The 21,849-nt window shown below is 47.7% G+C and overlaps 2 pseudogenes, besides 1 other annotated feature; both read right to left on the bottom strand.

Annotated features, from left to right (window-relative positions):
- Positions 1 to 486: 486 nt before the first annotated feature.
- Positions 487 to 1,888, bottom strand: EIF4A2P1 (eukaryotic translation initiation factor 4A2 pseudogene 1; annotated as a pseudogene).
- Positions 2,429 to 3,476, bottom strand: STK25P1 (serine/threonine kinase 25 pseudogene 1; annotated as a pseudogene).
- Positions 3,462 to 3,661: a silencer, noted in NCBI's record as "silent region_9322". NCBI's record gives its function as "represses an Ori minimal core promoter by ATAC-STARR-seq in GM12878 lymphoblastoid cells {active_cell/tissue: GM12878}" and the evidence as "EXISTENCE:reporter gene assay evidence [ECO:0000049][PMID:35858748]".

Below are 21,849 nucleotides of genomic sequence, written 5' to 3'. Positions count from 1 at the left end.
ATAATACCAAAGGCTGGGCGCCAGTAATCACACCTGTAATCCCAGCACTTTGGGAGGCTGAGGTGGGCAAGATCCTCGAGTCCAGGAGTTCAAGACCAGCCTGGGCAACATGGTGAAACCCTGTATCTACAATATATGCAAAAATCAGCCATGTGTGGTGGCCAGTGCCTGTAGTCCCAGCTACTGGGGAGGCTGAGGTGGAAGGACCACTTGAGTCCAAGAGGTCAAGGCTGCAGTGAGCCAAGATGGCACCACTGCACTCCAGCCTGGGTGACAGAGCGGGACACTGTCTCACAACAAAAAACAAAAAACACAATACCAAACAAAATGCATTCAAATGCTTTCTTAAAAAACAATTTGAAAGGCCTTTCTACTCAGGCTAATGACAAACGCAGTAAAGACAGATATGGTCATTTAACATAGTTAGCTGATTTTATACAGCACTTGTATCTTTTAGTCCACAAGTATAGTATTAAATGATAGAGAACATTGAATACAACCATTTCTACAGAACTAAGAAATAAATTACTAAAGAAGAAAGATTTTACAAATCCCATCTTTTATACCCACCCCAACAGTCTAACTCTAAAGAGGATAAAGCCAATGACTTTCCTCACAAGACCTCATGACTAATGTTGCTTTGCTATCAAAATCTGTATTTCTGGCCCATTATGAGCATTGAGACAAGATTCAAATATTCCCAAAGAAAGAGGCATAATGCAGGTTGTGATCACCCATTCAACAACATTGAGCACTGCATCCAGAACTATCTCATCCCAGGAATTAAATAAGGTCAGCCACATTTATGGGCATTTCCTCCACTGTAGTACTGTAGAAAGTGTCAGTGTCACCAAGAATCCTCCTGCCTTCTTCAGTAACAAAGTTTATAGCCACACCTTTCTTCCTAAATCAACCACCTCTGCCAATTCTGCAAATGTTGTTTTCACAATTGGTAGGTGGATCATAGCTTATAACCAAAGACACTTATTGCACATCAGTCCCACAAACCAAGTCAGTAGTGATCAGAACACGGTTTGACCCTGGTTGGAATTCCCGCATGATAACATCTCTCTCCTTCTCGTCCATGTCACCACGCAGAGCAGAAACTGTGAGGTCCGCGGCATGCATTTTCTCAGTCAGTTGACAGTGTGCTTTGTATTGAGAAAAATAACAGCCTGTGTAATGGTCAGTGTCTCGTACAAGTCACAAAGTGTATCCAACTTCCATTACTCTCTCAATATTAATATAAAACGGATTCCTTCAAGGTTCAATTCTTCCTTTTTCACCAGAATTCAAATTGGATCTCCCATGAATTTTTTGGTCACTTCCAACATATCAGTTGGCACTGTGGCAGAAAGCAACACAACCTGAATACTTGTATTTAATTTTTGGAAAATCTCATTATTTGATTCTTAAACCCTTGGGTCAATATTTCATCTGCTTCAACCAAAACAAAGGTTTTGATCCATTCTGGAGAAAATATCTTCTGTTTAACAAAGCAAACACTCTCCCTGGTGTACCAACAGCAGTATGTGATGCTTCGGCCTGCAGTTTTTGCGTTTCATTTCGAACATTTGTTCCACCAATGCAAGCAAGACAATGCAGGCTCCCATATAGTCTCCAGGTGCCGGAATTACTTTTTGGATCTTTAATGCAGAAAATAATAGCCCTCTGTCGAATAGCTGAAGGCTTCTCAAAACCATAAGCATAGATGGCCCGAAGAAGAGACTCCTTTAAGTTCATATCATCAAAGTTATCAACAATCTCATCCCAGTTGCTCTAGATGACACCATCTGGGTCCATTCCCTCTGGGCCGCCATGTTCTCTGTTATAATCCGAGGATCCATCAGACGTGATCTGGAAAACCACTCAACACCCAACTGAAAAGACCAATTTCCTTAAAAAACAAAACATTCTGGATCACACAAGCACTTAAGAGCAGACACAGTTCCTGATCCAACACCACAAGGCAAATCTATGGCCATCACGGGCCGAGAGCACAGCGGCCCGGGGCAGGATAAGAAGGCCCGGCTGGGGCGCTCCTCTGGGGGCTGCCCTGTCGCCTCCCCAATAACCCGTGGAAGAAGGAGGCAGAGCTGCCCGATAGTTGCTGTGCTCCTTAGTCTGAGCAGCCACTGGGCCGCGCGGGCCCGCAGAGGGGTCGGGCTCCGCTGCCTGGTGTGGCTGCAGTGGGGCCAGGAGGGGAGGGGAGATGGTCGCAGGGACCCGCATCCCCGCGTGCAGGACGGCACAGCGCAGGGGTGGGAGGAGACGTGGCCTGTAGGCCCAACGCACACGAGGCACCTTCCAAGTCAGCACCACTGTTAACAGAGCTCAGACTCTCTCTGTCCCCGGCTCTGCGGGCCCACGTCGAGGGGATTCTGCCGTGTGCAGCACCGGCTCGTGGAGCTCCAAGGCGGGTCTTGCGGCCGCCGCTCTGCCTGCGCTTCTCTCTGCGCTCCCGGAAGGCGCGCCGCCCAGCGTGGACGAACACGGGGCCTCTCGACGGGCTCCGCGGGCTTCTGCGAGCCGTGCAGGGCCGTCCTCCAGTACAGCTTGCTGCGTGGACTCGGCCGGACTGTAGAGGGACGCCGGGTTGCGGGGAGGCCTGATCCGCGTCCTCTGCCGCGCTGGCGATGTCGGGATCCTAGGAGCTGGGCTCCTCGCCGTGCCCCTGGGATTTCCAGCGCCGGCAGCGCCCATGAACCCCGGAAGAAAAGGTGTTGGCGGAGCGCGCGGTCGCCTTGCGCTCCCGGAGCTCCTTGACAGTGTCAGGACGCGGGGTCCTCGTCGGGCCAGGCCTGCCAGCTCCTCCAAGGGCTTGCCGCGGTCCTCCAGCTCAGACGGGCTGCTCTTGGGGATCAGGAACTGGGCGCGCATGCGGTGCAGGTCGGAGTGCGAAGGCTCCTCCTTGGCTAGTCCGATGGGCGTGATCCCCAGGGGTCAGAAGCCTGCCTTGAAGTCGTAGGCCGCTGCTGACGACCTCAGACGCCCTCCAGAAGAGGCTGCCAAGAACTGTTCCAGTCGACCTGCGTGTCTGTGGGCTGCCCCGCCACCCCGGGGTCCGCTGGCTTTGCGTCGCCCTGCTCTGAGGGCAGCACGCTGGCAGCTTCGCGTCTCAGGGGTTTCTTGGTGTTGGGAGTGCAGACAACCGAGGCCCTCCGGAACCTCCCCAAGACCGTGGCGGTTAGGTCTCCTCCAGGGGGCCCGAGTTCTGCAAGTCTTGCGCGCTGCCGCCGCTCTGGGCCTCCGGGGGAAACTCACAGAGAGCAGCAAGAGCAGCGGTGACTCGGGGCTGTAGCACAGCTGAGCGCAGGGTTCTCCTGCTGGGCGTCCTCGGCCTCCTCCGGGTCCACTGCCCTAATGACCACCACCTGATTGGTGCGGAGGTCGATGCCCTTGCGCCTCTCCCAGAACCAGCCCTTGCCGATGCAGTGGAGCGTGGTGAAGAGCTAGTCAGGCCCCACTCGCTGCTGGCAAGTCCCGGGGGCGAGCCACGCGGCGCAGGCAGCCTGGGAGGCGGCTAGACGCGGCAGCAGTGCGGCCCGGGCCCGCTTCCGCTCCCGCTCGCGCCCCCGCCCACTCGCTGGGCCCCACCCGGCCTGCCCCAACCTGTAGCCTCCGTTCGCCCGGGGACGCCGGGCCTCCCAGTCTGCTGAGCAGCGCGGGCTATTATGTAGGAATAATATTAATCAATGGAACTATCTGTAGGGTTGTGGATTAAAATGTTAATACTCTTAAAGTACTTAAAACAGTTTCCGACATAGTAAGAGTTCAATTCGTATTCGCTGTTATTATTAAGAAAAATTACGCAGAATTCATATGTGGAGAGTTCTATAAGCACTGCACTATGCACAAATGATTTGAACAAGTGGAAAGGAAGATTCAATACTGTAAAGGCAATTTCCCCCAAATTAATCTATATATTTAAAAGAGTTTCGACCAACAAGATTTTGGTGGACTTTTAAAATTTGCTCTAAAGTACATCTAGATCAATAAAATTTGTATATATTAGCTAGAATTAAAAAATAGTATTGGCCGGGTGTGGTGGCTCACGCCTGTAATCCCAGCACTTTGGGAGGCCAAGGCAGGCGGATCACTTGAGGTCAGGAGTTCGAGACCAACCTGGCCAACATGGCGAAACGCCATCTCTACTAAAAATACAAAAATTAGCCAGGCGTGGTGGCAGGCGCCTGTAATCCCAGTTACTCGGGAGGCTGAGGCAGGAGAATCGCTTGAACCCGGAAGGCGGAGGTTTCAGTGAGCCAAGATGCACCACTGAACCCCAGCCTGGGTGACAGTGGGAGACTCCGTCTCGAGAAAAAAAAAAAACAAAAAAAAAAAAACAGAAGGCACTCGTGTCTGGGACTTTTTCTTTTCTTTCTTTCTTTTTTTTTTTTTTTTTTTGACACGGAGTCTTGCTCTGTTGCCCAGGCTGCTGGAGTGCAGTGGCCGAATCTCGGCTCACTGCAACCTCCGCCTCCCGGATTCAAGCTATTCTCCTGCCTCAGCCTCTAGAGTAACTGGGACTACAGGCGGTGTGCCACCACGCCCGGCTAATATTTTGTATTTTTAGTAGAGATGGGGTTTCACCGTGTTAGCCGGGATGGTCTCGATCTCCTGACCCGTGATCCGCCCGTGACGGCCTCTCGAAGTGCTGGGATTACAGGCGTGAGCCACCGCGCCTGGCTTGATTTATGTTTGATAGAGATGTGAACACAATGATTTATGGCAGTAGATTTACTGAAAATGAACTGGTGCTCTTCATTCTTATAAATACCAGAGTACCTTCTAAGTAAGCCCAGATACTCACTCATCCCCACGCAGTACTGCAATATAACGTGAATAAGAGTGTTAATAGCGAAGGTCTTTCTTGGCCACTAAATTCCTGTGTCCAGTTCTCTCCTTTGATGAAGCAATGAGTTCTTAGAATAACAGAACTATAAAAAGACCTTCAAGGTCTTCTATTATACAAAATGCCATTTTATATCCAAAACGTTGAAAGTTAGGACTAGAAATATAAAGGAATTAGCCGGGCGCGGTGGCTCACGCCTGTATTCCCAGCACTTTGGGAGGCCGAGGCAGGTGGATTGCGAGGTCAAGAGATCGAGACCATCCTGGCTAACATGGTGAAACCCCGTCTCTACTAAAAATACAAAAAATTAGCCGGGCGTGGTGGCAGGAGCCCGTAGTCCCAGCTACTCGGGAGGCTGAGGCAGGAGAATGGCGTGAACCCGGGAGGTGGAGCTTGCAGTGAGCCGAGATCCCGCCACTGCACTCCAGCCTGGGCAACAGAACGAGACCCCGTCTCAAAAGAAAAAAAAAAAAAAATATATATATATATATATATATATATGGGAATTAGATATCTTTTTAAAACATCTTTCTGAGGGCGGGGCATATGCATTTCTAAAAAATGCTAACATTCTTGATTCTTTTGTATTTTTCAGTACCATCTTGCCTTTTATATGTTTGTATGTGGCAAACATACGAAAACCACAACTTCATGTCTTTTCCCAGCCCCACTATAGATGACACTGGTGTCATGAGATCAGGCTCTATCATTTGAAATGAATTAACTTCTAAAAGTCTTAGTTAAAATTTCAAATCTCAAATAAATCAAATATTGATTAGAAAAATATAACTTATTATTTGAAATTAATGTTAGTGAAAAGGGTGGCTTTCCTGGGGGTGGTAAGGAGTCTGTGAATGCAGCACACCTCTGGCAGTCTTCCTGGCGTGGGCAGCTGACATCAGGGCAGCATTTAACAGGGGAATTAAGCAGCTTGGCAGTGCGGGAATTACTTCTGTGACATCATCTATGTTATGCTGCCAGTAAATGTTCTGGAAAACTCTGCTCCAGAAAAGCTATGTCTGAATGAGAGAAGTCAGTTTTCCAAACTAATTCTCACCAACTCCTGCCCTCAAACAACGTAGCCATGTAAAGCAGAGAGTAACATACAAGTAGTCTTTGCAAGGCGGTGTCACTGAGAAATCAGGCTGAAAGCGTAGTGTGTTTGTCCTGTCCTTTAAACACAGACACAAAGTGGATATGATTAGCTAGGTGGTCCGTAATTATGAATCCAGAAGTTTCTATTTTCTTTCTCTCCCTTCCTCTCTTCTTCTTTGCTTCCCTCCCTCCCTCCCTCCTTCCTTCCTTCCTTCTTTCCTTCCTTCCTTCCTTCCATCTCCTTCTCTTCTTTGTTCCTTGGAAAAACATTAGAAAGGCAAAACTGCTTGCATAAAGTTTTCATTTGAAAGCGGATGCTAGAGTCTAAAAACCCAGGATGGGTAAATACTTAAAATTTGAGCGAGTTTAAAAATCCATATAATAAAGAAACAATCACTGTTCACTCTCATAATGTATGGAAAATTTCCTTCCCGCTTGTAAAAGATGAAAAATCAGGTTTATTTTATTTTATTTTATTTTTTGAGACGGAGTCTCTCTGTCGCCCAGGCTGGAGTGCAGTGGCACGATCTCGGCTCCCTGCAACATCCACCTCTGAGTCTCAGCCTCCCGAGTAGCTGGGACTACAGGAGCCCCTCACCACGCCCAGCTAATATTGGTATTTTTAGTAGAGACAGGGTTTCACCATATTGGTCAGGCTGGTCTCGAAATCCTGACCTCAGGTGATCCGCCCGCCTCGGCCTCCCAAAGTGCTGGGATTACAGACGTGAGCCACTGCGCTCAGCCGAAAAATTAGCTTTAAACAATCCAAAGTGCCCCACAAACAGTCCCTTAAGCCACATATTTTTGTTAATTAAATCATTACTTTCATTTTAAAAGATTCCCAAAAATGTTGTAGGAAGCATCAATACAGCATTTTCCACAATCCAGATTCTGAATCCTTTGTTTAAAAAAAGTCATTACATATTTCCTGGAACTGTTATTTTAAAAAGTCATCCCTATCTATTTTGGCAAGCCCTGTAAAAACATTAGCCTTCCTTAAAACAACATTTTAAAAGTTAGTCTCAGAGCTTAGCCGGAGAGAGTCAAGGATTCAAGAGCCTATGAAGCAAATCTATAGCTAAAAGAGTATTACTAAAAAAAATAAGCATTCAAAGTTATTTTTAGTGGATGAGAACGATGTGTTCCCGAACTTCTCTTTCTTTATTCTATAAGCCATTACTGTACATTTACTAACAGTCTGGCTAAACAGAGTGCTGGGGTACCTCTGGCTGGAAGGCACAAAGCTTTCCACATTTGCTCCCCACCCCCAACAGTGGTAATAAGAACAACCCCTCGCTCCAGTGAATAGACAGAAAAAGTCACCATTCAGCGACTGCTGCGGTTGGGACTCAGCCTTTAGAGGCAGGTGCTGTGCCTCAGAAGCCTGCTTTGTGCCACCTTCGTAACATGTTCCAAGCCCCCCACTGGGTCTGGCCGACTGGGTGGGCACCCCAGGCCCAGACCAGGACTCTCAGGGGTTTCTGTACCCATTTCTCTTCTTCAGAGCACACTCTGACCCTCTACTTCCCACCGTGAGTGCAGATCCACAGCCCAAAGTGCTGGCCAGGGCTGGAGGGGTGGGAAGAGGGTGGGGAAGATTCCCTGTCCATGGACAGTTCCTGGAGGGCAGTGAGTCCATGCAAACTCTTACTGGCACAGTGCCTCTCCCCTGGAATCTCAAGCGGCCGGGCCACCAGAGTGTCACCGACACACTGGCTTTGGTGACTCTCGATTGCCTCAGGTTCATGGCCAGCTCAGAGCACTCAGTTACTGACAGGCATGTGTGTGGACGAGCGTGGCCCATCTGGGTGCGATGCTGCCCATAGGCCACAGCACCTGAGGGTGGGGGGGTGGCCGCAGTGTCCTATACCCATGCCCCTGCCTCTAGCACCCAAAGGGGTCGCTTCAGCCCCTCTGCAGGCCACATGCTGTGTCCTCTGAGGACTTGCGTGACCTTTGCTATCCACTGCTAATGGGACCTGCAGTTGTCCTCTCTTGCCTGCAGTCAATGTGACAATCTCTCATTTTACCTGGTCAGGCTCAAGTCCTTCAGGATGAGCTTCTGGCTTGCTGGGAAGGTGTAGGCTCCTTGCTACCCCCCACCGCACTGTGGCAGGGTGTGGACACCAGGGTGGGCTCAGCCTTGAGAGAGATCACTTTCTAAGACTTCAGTGATTATGCTAAAGAGTTCAAAAGACATGGATGGAAGATTCTCTTCCACCTTCATGCTATAAAATCCCAAGTGGTGAATTTACAATGACCAGAAGAGGCACCAGCCTTTGTATTCTCATGCATCCTGCAGGTAGGACTGGCATTGGTGATAATCAAGGAAGTCCAGAAGCAGCTTTGAGAGCATCAGCAGAAGCCAGCATGCACGACAGCAAGCGATGCTGCAACCTCACAAGAGGGGATGCCACCAGCAGGGTATAAGTCCCAGGCAGCTGCAGAGACAGGAAGGTCGACACTGCTTCAGCACAAATGGGTTCCTGAGAGCCACAGCATGGGCAGTGCTCATAGCTTTGCTACCTTTTCCTCCTGGAGATATGACCTTAGCCAGGAAAGGCACTTGACAATAAAGAGCAAGAAGAGATGGCGCCTGGACACTACAGAGAACCTTCATGTGCATTGGCTGGATGATTAAATACAGAAGTCCCTCTTATCTCTCTATTATTCTAAATCCATCATAATTTATCAATAAATCTATATACATCATGTGGGCCTATGAATGTTGCAACACATTTTAAAAACAAGTTGTGTACGTATTTGTATTAGAACAAGCTGTGTGCATTTGTCCGGGATGCTGCACACCAGGAATAGTCCTGGTGTTCAAGGCCGACTTGTATTTCCAGGCTTGGTTGCCCTAGTCACACAGAGCACAGTACTGATTGGAAAGGGATGAGTATGGTGTCTCTGTAAGGAAACTGGACAACGGGTATCCAAATGCTCTTAATTGTACTGTTATTTATTTATTTTTGAGGGGGTGGTTGTTTTGTATTTTTTTTGAGACAGAGTCTTGCTCTGTCGCTCAGGCTGGAGTGCAGTGGTGCAATCTTGGCTCACTGCAACCTCCACCTCATGGGTTCAAGCGATTCTCATGCCCCAACCTCCCCAGTAGCTGGGATTACAGGCACGTGCCACCATGCCTGGCTAATTTTTATATTTTTACTAGACACGGAGTTACCCCATCTTGGCCAGGCTGGTCTCCAAGTCCTGGCCTCAAGTGATCTGCCCACCTCGGCCTCTCAAAGTGCTGGGATTACAGGTGTGAGCACCCGGCCCTGTACTGTTATTCTAATAGTGAAAAGTTGGAAACAATCTAAATGTCCAACAACAGGGGATTGAATAAATACATTGCAGCAGGACATTTAAATGAAACTACTAAAACTCAAGCCTAGGCCATGTGTGGTGGCTTATACCTATAATCCCAGCACTTTGGGAGGCTGAGGCAAGAGGATTACTTGAGGCCAAGAGTTCAACACAGCCTGGGCAATATAGGGAGACCATGTCCCTACAAAAAAAAAAAAAGAACTAAAATATTAGCTATGCTTGGTGGGGCGTGCCTGTAGCTTCAACCACTCAGGAGGCTGAGGAGGGAGGATATCTTAAGCCAGGGAGGTCAAAGCTGCAGTAAGCTGTGATTGCACCACTGCACTCCAGCCTAAGTGCCAGAGTGAGATCATGTCTCAAAATAACAACAACAATAATGATAAATTAACCTTAGCTTACCACAACATCTTTTAAATTTAAATTAAAATTTGTAGAGATAGAGTCTTGCTTTGTCGCCCAGGCTGGTGTACAGTGGCATGGTCATGGCTCACTGCAGCCTCGACCTCCTGGGCTAAAGCAACTCTCGTGCCTCAGCTTCCCAAGTAGCTGGGACTATGGGTGCACACTATCATGCCCGGCTAGTTATTGTTTTTGTTTTTTATAGAGACGGTGATCTCCCTATGTTGCCCAGTCTGGTCTTGAACTCCTGGGATTAAGCAATCTTTCCCACCTCAGCCTCCCAAAGTGCTGAGATTACAGGTGTGAGACACCGCACACTGCCACTTTTTAAACTTTGTGACTCTTGTAATAATAGTTTAAAACATAAACCCATGGAGGCACAGTGGCACATGCCTATAATCCCAGCACTTTGGAAGGCCGAGGCAGAAAGACTCCTTAAGCATAGGAGTTTGGGACCGGCCTGGGCAACATGGTGAAACCTCATCTCCACAAATATTTAAAAATTAGCTAGTGTGGTGGTGCATGCCTGTAGTCCCGGCTACTCGGGAGGCTGAGGTGGGAGAATGGCTTGAACCCGGACAGTCAAGGCTGCTGTGAGCTTTGGTTGTGCTGTCACAGAGTGAACCCAAAATTGGGGTTCAGCCTGGAAGGCCACAGTAGGTTCTTGGCTTCACACAGGAAGGAATTCAAGAGTGAGCCAACAGAGTAAAGCGAAAGCAGGTTTATTAAGAAAGTAAAGGAACAGGTGGCTACTCTGTAGGCAGAGGAGCCTGAGGGCTGCTGGTCAGCTATTTCTACAGTTACTTCTTGACCATATTCTAAACAGGGAATGGATTATTCGTGAGTTTTCCAGGAAGAAGGCGGGCAGTTCCCGGAACTGAGGGTTCCTCCCACTTTTAGACCATGTAGGGTAACTTCCTGACGTTGCCATGGCATTGTAAACTGTCAAGGCACTGGTGGGAGTGTCTCTTAGCAAGCTAATGCATTATAATTATTGTATAATGAGCAGTGAGGGTGACCAGAGGTTGCTTTCCACACCATCTTGGCTTTGGTGGGTTTGGGCCAGCTTTTTTACTGCATCGGGGTCTTTGTGACCTCTACTTTGCAAAATCAGTCCTGCTGAACTCCTGTCTCCACACCACTGCACTCCAGCATGAGAAACACAGTGAGACCCTGTCTCAAAAAATAAATGAATAAATACCTGCTCAGTTCTGGGGCAACTGAAAAAAAAGTGAATAAGTAAATAAAACACAAACCCATTGCACATCTGTGCAAAAATGTTTTCTTTCTTTATATCCTTATTCTGAAAGCTTATTTTTCTATTTTCAAAAATGTTAATTCTTTTAAATTTTTCAAACTTTCTTGATAAAAGCTAAGACACAAGCTGGACATGGTGGCGTGTATCTGTAATCTGAGCTTCAGGATGCTGAAGAGGGAGGATCACTTGAGCCCAGGAGTTTGAGACAAGCCTGGGCAACATAGTGAGACCTTATCTTAAAAAAAAAAGAAAAAAGAAAAAAAAATCTAAGACACAAACACACACATTAGCCTGTCCCTACACAGGGTCAGGATCATCATCACTGTCTTCCACCTCCACATATTGTCCCACTGGGAGTATTCAGGGACAGTAACATGCATACCATCTCCTGGGATAACAATGCCTTCTTCTGGATACCCCCTGAAGGACCTGCCTAAGGCTGATTTAGAATTAACTTTTTTTAAATAAGTTGAAGGAGTATACTCTAAAATAATGATTAAAAGTATAAAAATAAAGACATAAACCAGGAACATAGTCATATATTACCATTATCAAGTATTATGTACCTTACATATTGTATTTATTTTATTTTACTTTATTTTATTTTATTTTTGACAGAGTTCTGCTCTGTCATCCAGGCTGGAGTGTAGTGGTGCAATCTTGGCTCACTGCAACCTCTGCCTTCCAGGCTCAAGCAATTCTCGTACCTTAGCCTCCTAAGTAGCTAGGATTACAGGCATGCTCCACCATGCCCAGCTAATTTTTGTACTTTTAGTAGAGATGGGATTTCACCATGTTAGTCTGCCTGGTCTCAAGCTCCTGACCTCAAGAGATCCACCTGCTTCGGCCCCCCAAAGTGCTGGGATTACAGGCGTGTGCCACCGTGCCATACCTTATGTAATTGTATGCTAGACTTTTATATGATTGGCAGCACAGCAGGTGTGTTTACACCAGCACCACTGCAAACACATGAGCAATGAGCTGTGCTAAGATGTTACGATGGCTGCTCCATCACCAGGTGATAGGAATTTTTCAGCTCCATTATAATATTAGGGGACTGGCGTCATATACGCGGTCTGTTGTTGAACAAAACCTTGTTATATGGCACATATTGTAGACACACACACAGAGAGAGAGAGAGAGAGAGAGAAGAGAGAGATTATGAGGAACTGGCTTGCATGAGCATGAAGGTAAAAAGTGTCACGATCTGCCATCTGAAAACTCAAGACCCAGGAAAACCACGGCTGTAATTCCAATCCAAGTCCAAGGGCCTGAGAACAAGGGAAGCCAGTGGTGTAAATTCCAGCCCAACGGCAGGAGGAAACCTGTGTCCCAGCTCAAACAGTGAGGCAGGACCAAAAAAATGGGTGAATTCCCCCACCCTCCCCTTGTGGTTCACTCAGGCCCCTAACGAATTGGATGGAGAGCAATCGACTTTTCTGAGCCACCAGTTCAAATGTCCGTCCCATCCTGAACACCCTCACAGACACACCAGAAATAGTGTTTAATGTGCACACCCCATGGTGCAGTCAGATTGACACATAAAATTAAGTATCACCTCAAGCTTGCCAGGGCAAAGATGCGTGGCTGCTTTCTGTGGCCAGAGTGTGGGCCATGTGAAAGAAAGAGCTGGCTGGGGTGGTCTCAGATCATGTCTGGAGGAGTGAGGAGGCAACAGCAGGAAAAAACAACAAGGACAACAACACATGACCGTGTACGGCCAGATGGCGATGGGCTGAGAAAGGAGTCATAGGGAACCAGATGGAGGGCATGAACTGCAGCTAAGAAACCTCCAGCAGCGAGGGGAGGAGGGGCACCAGGACCTCGATTCGATGCAAAACCCGGTCGTGCTCTGGGCGCCACTCAGAATTGTAAGTCATCTGATAAATGGGTTGAAGCAAAGTTTCTAAGTGTAGCACATGATGCCTCCAAAATTCAAAGAGGACTTCCAAATGCTCTGCCTCTTTCTCAGTGGTAGGGAGGGCAAGGTGCAATGATATGTTCTTTACACTAGAATGTTTCATCATGCTCAGACCATTTCATCTTTTAAAAACTTTAACAGGGAATGAATTTTCTTTTCTTTTATCTTCTTTTTTCAATACAGGGTCCTGCTCTGTCATCCAGGCTGGAGGGCAGTGGTACAATCATGGCACATTGCAGCCTCCACCTCCTAGGCTCAAGGGATCCTCCTGCCTCAGCCTCCCGAGTAGCTGCGATTATAGGCATGTGCCACCATGCCCGGCTAATTTTGTATTTTTAGTAGAGACGGGGTTTCTCCATGTTGGTCAGGCTGGTCGCGAACTCCTGACCTCAGGTGATCCGCCACCTTGGCCTCCCAAAGTGCGGGGATTACAAGAGTGAGCCACCGCATCCGGCCTGGATTTCTTAATATTTACAGTGTACCTGCTACACTCTGATGCATACGTCTCACCAAGGCAGCCAGAGGACTTGCAACTTCCCGCTCACCAGGTCCAGTTAACATGACATCCTCAAACAGTGGGCTGATGTGACATTCTGCAGATGCCAAGAAGATCAAGACCCTGGTGGGCTATGTTGGGACAGAAAGTAGAGGTTCTGGGGCAAGACAGTGAGTGTGATGAATGTTGTTCATTCCAAGTAAAAACTAACTATTTTGATCCTCTTTATTGGCAGATATTGAGAAGTATGATATTAATGGTTCAGTAGCCACATAACAAGCTTTGGAAACTGTGTTGATTGTTCATACCATATACCACATTGTGTAGTCCATGCTACAGTCCATACAACCTATGATTGGGGCTCTATTTATTTATTATTATTATTATTTTTATTTTTATTTTTTGAGATGGAGTCTCGCTCTGTTGCCCAGGCTGGATCGCAGTGGCCTGATTCTGGCTCACCGCAACCTCCACCTCCCGGGTTCAAGCAATTCTCCTGCCTCAGCCTCCTGCATAGCTGGGACTACAGGTGTGCGCCACCATGCCTGGCTAATTTTTGTATTTTTAGTAGAGCCAGGGTTTCACTATGTTGGCCAGGCTGGTCTCAAACTCCTGACCTCGTGATGCACCCACCTCGGCCTCCCAAAGTGCTAGAATTACAGGTATGAGTTACCGCGCCAAGCCTATTTATTCATTTATTTGTTTATTTTTGAGACAGAGTCTCGATCTGTCACCCAGGCTGGAGTGCAGTGGCACGATCTCTGCTCACTGCAACCTCTGTCTCCCAGGTTCAAGCAATTCTCCTGCCTCAGCCTTCTGAGTAGCTGGGACTACAGGCGTGCACCACCACAGCTGGCTAATTTTTGTATTTTTAGTAGAGACGGGGTTTCACCATGATGGCCAGGCTGGTCTCGAACTCCTGACCTCAGGTGATCCGCCCGCCTCAACCTCCCAAAGTGCTGGGATTACAGGTGTGAGCCACCGCGCCCAGCAGGGCTCCATTTAGTTAGGTTTACAGTAGTCCACCCTTATCTGCCATGATCTGTGTAATTTTTGTAAGGGCCACTTGGGTAAATTGAAGGGGACTGCCACCCTCCATCCTTGAAGTTGCTTATGGTGGTGCTACTCTCTGCAATTCCTTCTAGTATTGCTTCTGATTTTTCAGGGACTTCTCTCCTGTGTCTTCCCCCCTATGTCTAGATGTCTAGAAATCATTGTAAGGTTTCTGCCAACTACTAGGTATATATCTATCCTAATTATACATGTGGGAGCTGAGAAAATAACCACAGGCCATGTTCCTGGACCCAGTGGACCCACTGCAGGGTATACTTGGGTCAGAACTCCATGTATCATCTGCCCTTCAAAAGCTCTGAGTGTAACTGGAGGAACATAACAGGATTTCAGGTCCCGTGGTATCTGAAGTTTCAACTCAGATTTTCTATCCATTTCCTTGGCACCATTGGGCTGCTAGGTGGCTGTAGGTTCCATTGGTGAAGGACTAGGGTAATAGTTATCATCTGTATTTTTAGTGGTGGTGCAGAGTCTTTCATTACAGAGAACTGGCAGGCTTCCCTTCAATCAATGTGCATTAGATCTGTGAACTGACTTAGCTTTGGAAATTGAATGAAGGATTGTGATTTTCCATTGCAGTGGCTAATTTCAAACTTCAGCTTCCCAGCACTTCTTTTTTTTTTTTTTCAAATTGTCCAAGTCAAGTCACAACCTAATTGTTGTTCACCCGTCTCAGCCCCTGGAACAGAGCCCACAGATCCTAGCAGGTCACAGCAGCGTAACTGCCATGCTGGCCTTGCTGCCCATGATACTAACTTCATTCCCCTTCTGCTGCTGCCTCCTCTCTGCGATTTCAGAATCCCGTCATGCCCATTGATACCTGGCATCCATTGGCAGGATCTTCCACTGGCCGGCTCTGGCCTACAAAGGACAATTCCTACCAAGCTTCTCAAAGATGGTCATGCCTCCCTCACCAGTGGGTCTTTGTGCTTTATGAAGGGAGTCTCCTCTGAGTCTTCCCAAAGAACACAGCCGGGAAGTGGGTTCTCTGATACCACATACTAAGCCTATTCTAATGTCTAATTTCCCTGAGCTCGTCTAGTATTCTGCCAAGGAAATTAAAGCATCCTCACCTCATTCATTGTAGGTCATCTTCCTGCCCAAGCTTCAGGAAACTATCCGAGCAGTGGATGAGAAGTGGATTCAGATGCCCTGACTAGGACTCCCAAACCAAGGGGTATATTCCTATATCAATAAATCCTTCTCTACCCATCCTTATATTTGCATCTTCCTTGGCCCAACATCTTAAGCTTTATAATTGCCCATTTTCCTCTCCTTCCTGTTGGTCCACATTAGACAGGTCTTACAATTCTTAGGATATATAAGATTTCTGCCTGGAGTTTGGACTGTTTACCTAAGCTGTGTTGGGATCAGACCCTGCTTCTTAGTATGGAGGTAACAAGTGGTGGCAGGGGTTGCTTTTGGGGAGTTAGTGGCTAAAACTGAGTTTCCTTGCCCTTTGAGACACTTTCTCATGTGAGGGCTTCTGTGAATCTAGTAAGAATGGGGGCGCACATCTGCTGGCCTGGGGGAGCCAAAAAAACCTGGGGTTGCAAGGTTCTCAGGCTGGTCCAAGTCCACCCAGGTATTTCTCAAGTCAATGATTTGAGGACGAGACCATTTATGGCTATGCATTCATGCTCCTTTGCATCTCTGTTTTCCTAATAACACAGTGCTGTGCCTGATTTTCATCCACACATTCTACGAATAAAATGAGCGTCTCCATGAATGCAGTTATGGAGCCGCTTTGCTTCCACAACCTGCCTCAAGCTGACAGTTGCAGGTGGAAACCTGTTTGACTTTTTTTTCAAGACGTCCAGAGCATTTAACAAAGACCAGGAACCTCCAAAATCGTTATAGTTCCCCTCGCCCCAATACCACTTAGGTGTCAGAGCTGCCACATGCCCAGTGCTTTACCTTCCACCTGCACCTCATCCCAAGCCACCAGGGTGAGATCCTTAGCAATCGTGATGTTACCAGATGCCACTCACTCCAGCCTCGTGTTTCTTAGCTCTGTGTTTTCCAGCTCCAAAATCCCATCCTGAGAATCTGCTTCCTAGGCCCATGTCTGTGACTAATTACCTTAGCCTGAGTTCCCTGAAAGCAGACCCTGAGACCAAGGCTTGTTGCAAGGACTTTATTTGGGAAAGCGCTTCTAGAGAGCAGCAGTGCAGGGAAGGAGGATGAACAGGTGAGGAGGAAAAGCAAACATAAGAAAGCCTTGTCACGTCCATCACCAGACACAAATGACGCTTGTTCACACTGAGACTGACTTACTTTTTCTTTCTTCCTTTCTTTCTTTCTTTCTTTCTTTTCTTTCTTTCTTTCTCTCTTTCTTTCTCTCTCTCTCTCTCTCTCTCTCTGTCTCTCTCTCTCTCTCTCTGTCTGTCTGTCTCTCTCTCTCTTTTTCTTTTTAAGACAGAGACTCACTCTGTCACCCAGGCTGGAGTGCAATGGCACGATCTTGGCTCACTGCAACCTTCGCCTCCTGGGTTCAAGAGATTCTTCTGCCTCAGCCTCCTAAGTAGCTGGGATTACAGGTGCCTGACACCACACCCAGCTAATTTTTGTATTTTTAGTAGAGATGGGGTTTCACCATGTTGGTCAAGCTGGCCTCAAAGTCCTGATCTTAGGTGATCCACCCGCCTTGACCTCCCAAAGTGCTGGGATTACAGGCATGAGTCACCACGCCCGGCCCCCACTGGGACTTTCTAAGGAGCCATGAGAAATGCATCCGAGAATCGGCCACCTGGAGGCTCGGTGCAGTGGCTCACATTTATAATCCCAGCACTTTGGGAGGCTGAGGCAGGAAGATCCCTTGAGTTCAGGAGTTCAAGACCAGCCTGGGCAATATAGTGAGACCTTATCTCTACAAAAAAACTTTTTTTTAATTAGCTGGACATGTTGGCATGCACCTAGTCCCAGCAACTCAGGAGGCTGAGGTGGGAGGATCACTTGAGCCCGGGAGGTCAAGGCTGCAGTGAGCCATGATCACACCATTGCCCTCCAGCCTGGGCAACAGAGCAAGACCTTGTTTCAAAACAAAACAAAACAAAAGCAAAACAAAAAAAAATCAAATAATTGCCTTCCTGGGGTGTGAAAGGGGAAATCAACATCGGTTAAGAGTGGTGCCGCGGCGGCGGCGGCGGCGGCGGCGGCGGCGGCCTCGACCTGGCCCGGCGGCGGCCTCGATGGCTCAGGCGTCTTGGCTCCCGACGGGCGCTGCTCCCTGGCGCGCTCTGTTGAGGCGCCGGCCGGCTGGCGCAGTCCTGTGGGCAGCGTGGCGCTTGCAAGCGCAGGAAGAGTTCTGGGGGGACCGCGGTGGGCGGGATACCTTTGGCGCCGGCTCTTCCTCTTTCTCCCGGTTTGTTCCCGACGGTGCTCGCTCGTGGGCCCGCCCTGGCCCGGGCTTTCTGGCCCCGTAGTACCCGCGCGGCCTAGTTCTCGGGGGCTTGGGCACCCGGGTGCTGTATCGGCGGGTTTCTTCCCATGTCCTGGACATTTACTTTATATGCTGCGGCGGAGGTCGTACCTCCTTGGCCTGGAGGAACCCAGTGGGGACTGACGCAGCTCCGGGTGAGCTTTGGCGGCTGTGTCGAGTGACAACGTAGGCATCTCAGCACGGACATTTGCAGTGGCCCGACGGCGCAAATGACAGGGGAAGTCCCCTTGTTTTGAGTATGAGGTGTTTGTCGCTGTCCCTTTATAAGGGTCCAACTCCACTCATACTCACCTCCCTCGCCCCCCCCCCCACCCCGCCCAGAACACTTTGGTAGCTGCCTTTGCTTAAAAAAAAAAAAATTCTAAAGTTCTTACAAATCGTTAGTATGGCTTACAATTTTTAACCTTTTCCACAAATGTTTTTAGGGTATTTTTCCTCTTTACAGGTAAATGATGTGATCTATTTTGGATTCAATAAGACTTTAGTAATTGGATCTAAAGAGTGACGGAAGAAGCTATTAAAGGTGGATGTGCACAGAAAAAAAAAAAAAAAAGAGTGGTGCCACTGGTGCTAACTCCTCTGCACATCTGAGTTAAGAATGTTTCAGTGAATTGTGTGTTCGTTTAGGTGTTGCAAGTCACAGCATCAGAGAAGCCCCAGAGCGGAAAGTGAAAGGTGCTCAGAGATGATCATTCATATGGCTATGAACTAATTAAGATTCAGGGATTTGAATGTGTCTCCTCATAACAAGAATATACAATATACTTCATGTAAATTTTTCTAGTCAAAGAAATGTTAATTAAAACTGTCTGGACTCTGTTTCACCTGGGAGAAAGTATGTTTTTGCAACAATATCAATTCTTTTGTGTTTTTTATTAACATAATAGTATTTCATTTCAGAAGCAGCCTGATATGCACATAAGCATAAAATAGTAAGAAGTGGGAAGTAGTTGTGGATAAAAAGGAACCAGGCCAAGCACGGTGGCTCATGCCTTTAATTCCAGCACTCCAGGAGGCCAAGTTGGGAGGGTTCATAGGGATGTGGGCAAACATATAGTTCTAAATCGCTGCCTATAGCATTACATTGATTCTATTCTTTCATACAGCAATTTAACAGTGGATTTCAAAAGCTATAAAAATATCTGGCTGGGCACAGTGGCTCACACCTGTAATCCCAGCACTGTGGGAGGTCAAGGCAGGTGGATGACTTGAGTCCAGGAGTTCAAGAACAGCCTGGGCAACACGGCAAGATCCCCTCTCTACAAAAAATACAAAAATTAACTGGGCATGGTGGCACACGCCTGTGGTTCCAGCTACTCAGGGGGCTGAGGTGGGAGGATTGCTTGAGCCTAAGAGGTAGAGGTTTCAGTGAGCTGAGATTGTACCACTGCACTCCGCAGAGGTGACAGAGCAAGACCCTGTCTCAAAAAAAAAAAAAAAAAAAATAGCAGCAGGTGCTTTAAGCACCTTTCCCACATACCTTCAGCATGTACTTCTACATCCAGAGGCTATTTTCTGCTTTAATTTTTTTTTTCTGGCCATGGAAACAAGCTCAGCTTACATACAGGGCAAAGTAGGAGTGGCAGAGAGCTAAGTAGCTCTAGAAACAGTCTTCAAACCATGACAGGTGGGGAGTTAGTGGTTAAAACTGAGTTTCCTTGCCCTTTGGTCTGGAAACTTTGACAGTATGTTCTTTACTGCCCCCCACCCCCCAGAGTTTCCCAGCAGGCTGGAAGTCCTCTTGTTGCCCACAGTGCTAACTGGTTGTTAATAAACACGCTTTCTTCTTTTCCCTGTTTCCCTTCCCTTCTCCCTTACTAGTGTTTCCCGGCATCACCTCCCATGTAAGACTCCATCTCAAATCTCAAATGGACTCAAATCTCCATCTCAGGGTTTGCTTCTAGACAAATCCAAATGGAGATAACTAATAAACTTTTGGACCAATAATTACACTTCTGGGTATTTATCCAAAGGAAAAGTCCTTCAAAAGAAGAGAGGTGGGCCGGGCGCGGTGGCTCACGCCTGTAATCCCAGCACTTTCAGAGGATGAGGCGGGCGGATCACCTGAGGTCGGGAGTTCGAGACCAGCCTGACCAACATGGAGAAACCCCGTCTCTACTAAAAATACAAAGTTAGCCGGATGTGGTGGCGCATGCCTGTAACCCCAGCTACTCAGGAGACAGAAGCAGGAGAATCGTTTGAACCTGGGAGACTAGGGTTGTGGTGAGCCGAGATCGCACCATTGCACTCCAGCCTGGGCAACAAGAGCGAAACTCCATCAAAAAAAAAAAAAAAAAAAAGGGACGAGTTATGTCTGAAAAAGATATTACAACATTTTTATGTAATAGGAAATTTGGAAACAATAGAACGTCCAACAAAGATTCACTGTTATTCTTGCAATCACATTGACTTTTCTTTTCTTTTCTTTTTTTTTGAGACGGAGCCTTGCTCTGTCACCCAGGCTGGAGTGCAGTGGCGCGATCTCGGCTCACTGCAAGCTCCGCCTCCTGGGTTCACGCCATTCTCCTGCCTCAGCCTCCCGAGTAGCTGGGAATACAGGTGCCCACCACCACGCCCAGCTAATTTTTTGTATTTTTAGTAGAGGCGGGATTTCACTACGTTAGCCAGGATGGTCTCAATCTCCTGACCTCGGGATCCGCCCACCTCGGCCTCCCAAAGTGCTGGGATTACAGGCGTGAGCCACCGTGCCCGGCCACATTGACTTTTCATCTACTATAATCAGGCACCATACTGGTACCCAATGGTGGTACCCAAGGTCGAGCATCAGGATAGAGCAGGAGACAGGAAGAGGATGAAATCTTTATTAAGGCAGCAGCAGGGGGAGACAGAGAGCAGAGCATTGATTTGAGAGATTTCTTGGGAGGCAAGAAGCAACAGAAACCAGCGACCCATTAGACACAGAAGATAAAGGATAGAGAGATGTTGAAGATGACTTCCAGGTTTGTAGCTTGGTTGAATAAGTGATGCCATTAGCTGTGATAGGGAAAACAGGGAAAGAAGACAGTTTTATAGACAAGGTTTTTTTGTGTTTTTTTTTGAGATGGAGTTTCGCTCTTGTTGCCCAGGCTGAAGTACAGTGGCACAATCTCGGCTCACTGCGACCTCCGCCTCCCAGGTTCAAGCGATTCTCCTGCCTCAACCTCCCGGGTAGCTGGGATTACAGGGGCGTACCACCAAGCCCGGCTAATTTTTGTATTTTTAGTAGGATGGGATTTCATTATGTTAGCCAGGCTGGTCTCGAACTCCTGACCTCAGGTTATCCACTCGCCTCGGCCTCCCAAAGTGCCGGGACTACAGGCGTGAGCCACCACGCCTGGCCTATAGACAAGGTCTTGAATTCAGATGTGATAAGCTGAGCTGGAGAAGCTTTAATTGCTTCAACACTGTTTCACTTCTATGAGCCCTCATACTAGTTGAATATGAGCCAGGGCCCCTGGACTCCTTGGGGTCATTTGTCACAGCAGCAGTAGGAAAGGAATACAGTGTGTGTTCCTGCCAAAGCCATGGGCCTGCTGTGGCTGTGCTCCTTCACAGAAAGCCACATTGCCCATCTGATAGCCCTCTCCTGCCCTCTCTCTGGGTTTTGGTAACTGCTCCTGTCCCCTGCACCTTCAGACCCATGGATTGGTAGAATTTCCACACAGTTGTTAACCCTGAGTGTTTAGCCCTGAGTGTTTAGATTTCTTCTAATCTTGTCCACAACTCTGTAAATCATTCTGTCCTTAAACTCTCTTTAATTACCTTTCTTAGTGTGCCAACGGTTTCACAACTGTACATCCTCTGGGACACTGATGGATGCAGACTCAAAATTATCAAAATAAATAAAAAGCTCTAGATTTCAAGAATTAAGGAGACTTGAGAACCATCTAACACATACAAAGGAATATGGTTCTAACAAAGTACTCAAGAACTAATCATTTTAGGGACTGGCATGGTGGCGCATACCTGTAATCCCAATGCTTTG

Source organism: Homo sapiens, chromosome 18 (assembly GCF_000001405.40).
Source record: "Homo sapiens chromosome 18, GRCh38.p14 Primary Assembly".
In the NCBI taxonomy this organism is placed as follows: domain Eukaryota; kingdom Metazoa; phylum Chordata; class Mammalia; order Primates; family Hominidae; genus Homo; species Homo sapiens.
Note: the sequence above shows the minus strand (reverse complement) of the source record. Positions and strands in the feature narration are given on the sequence as shown.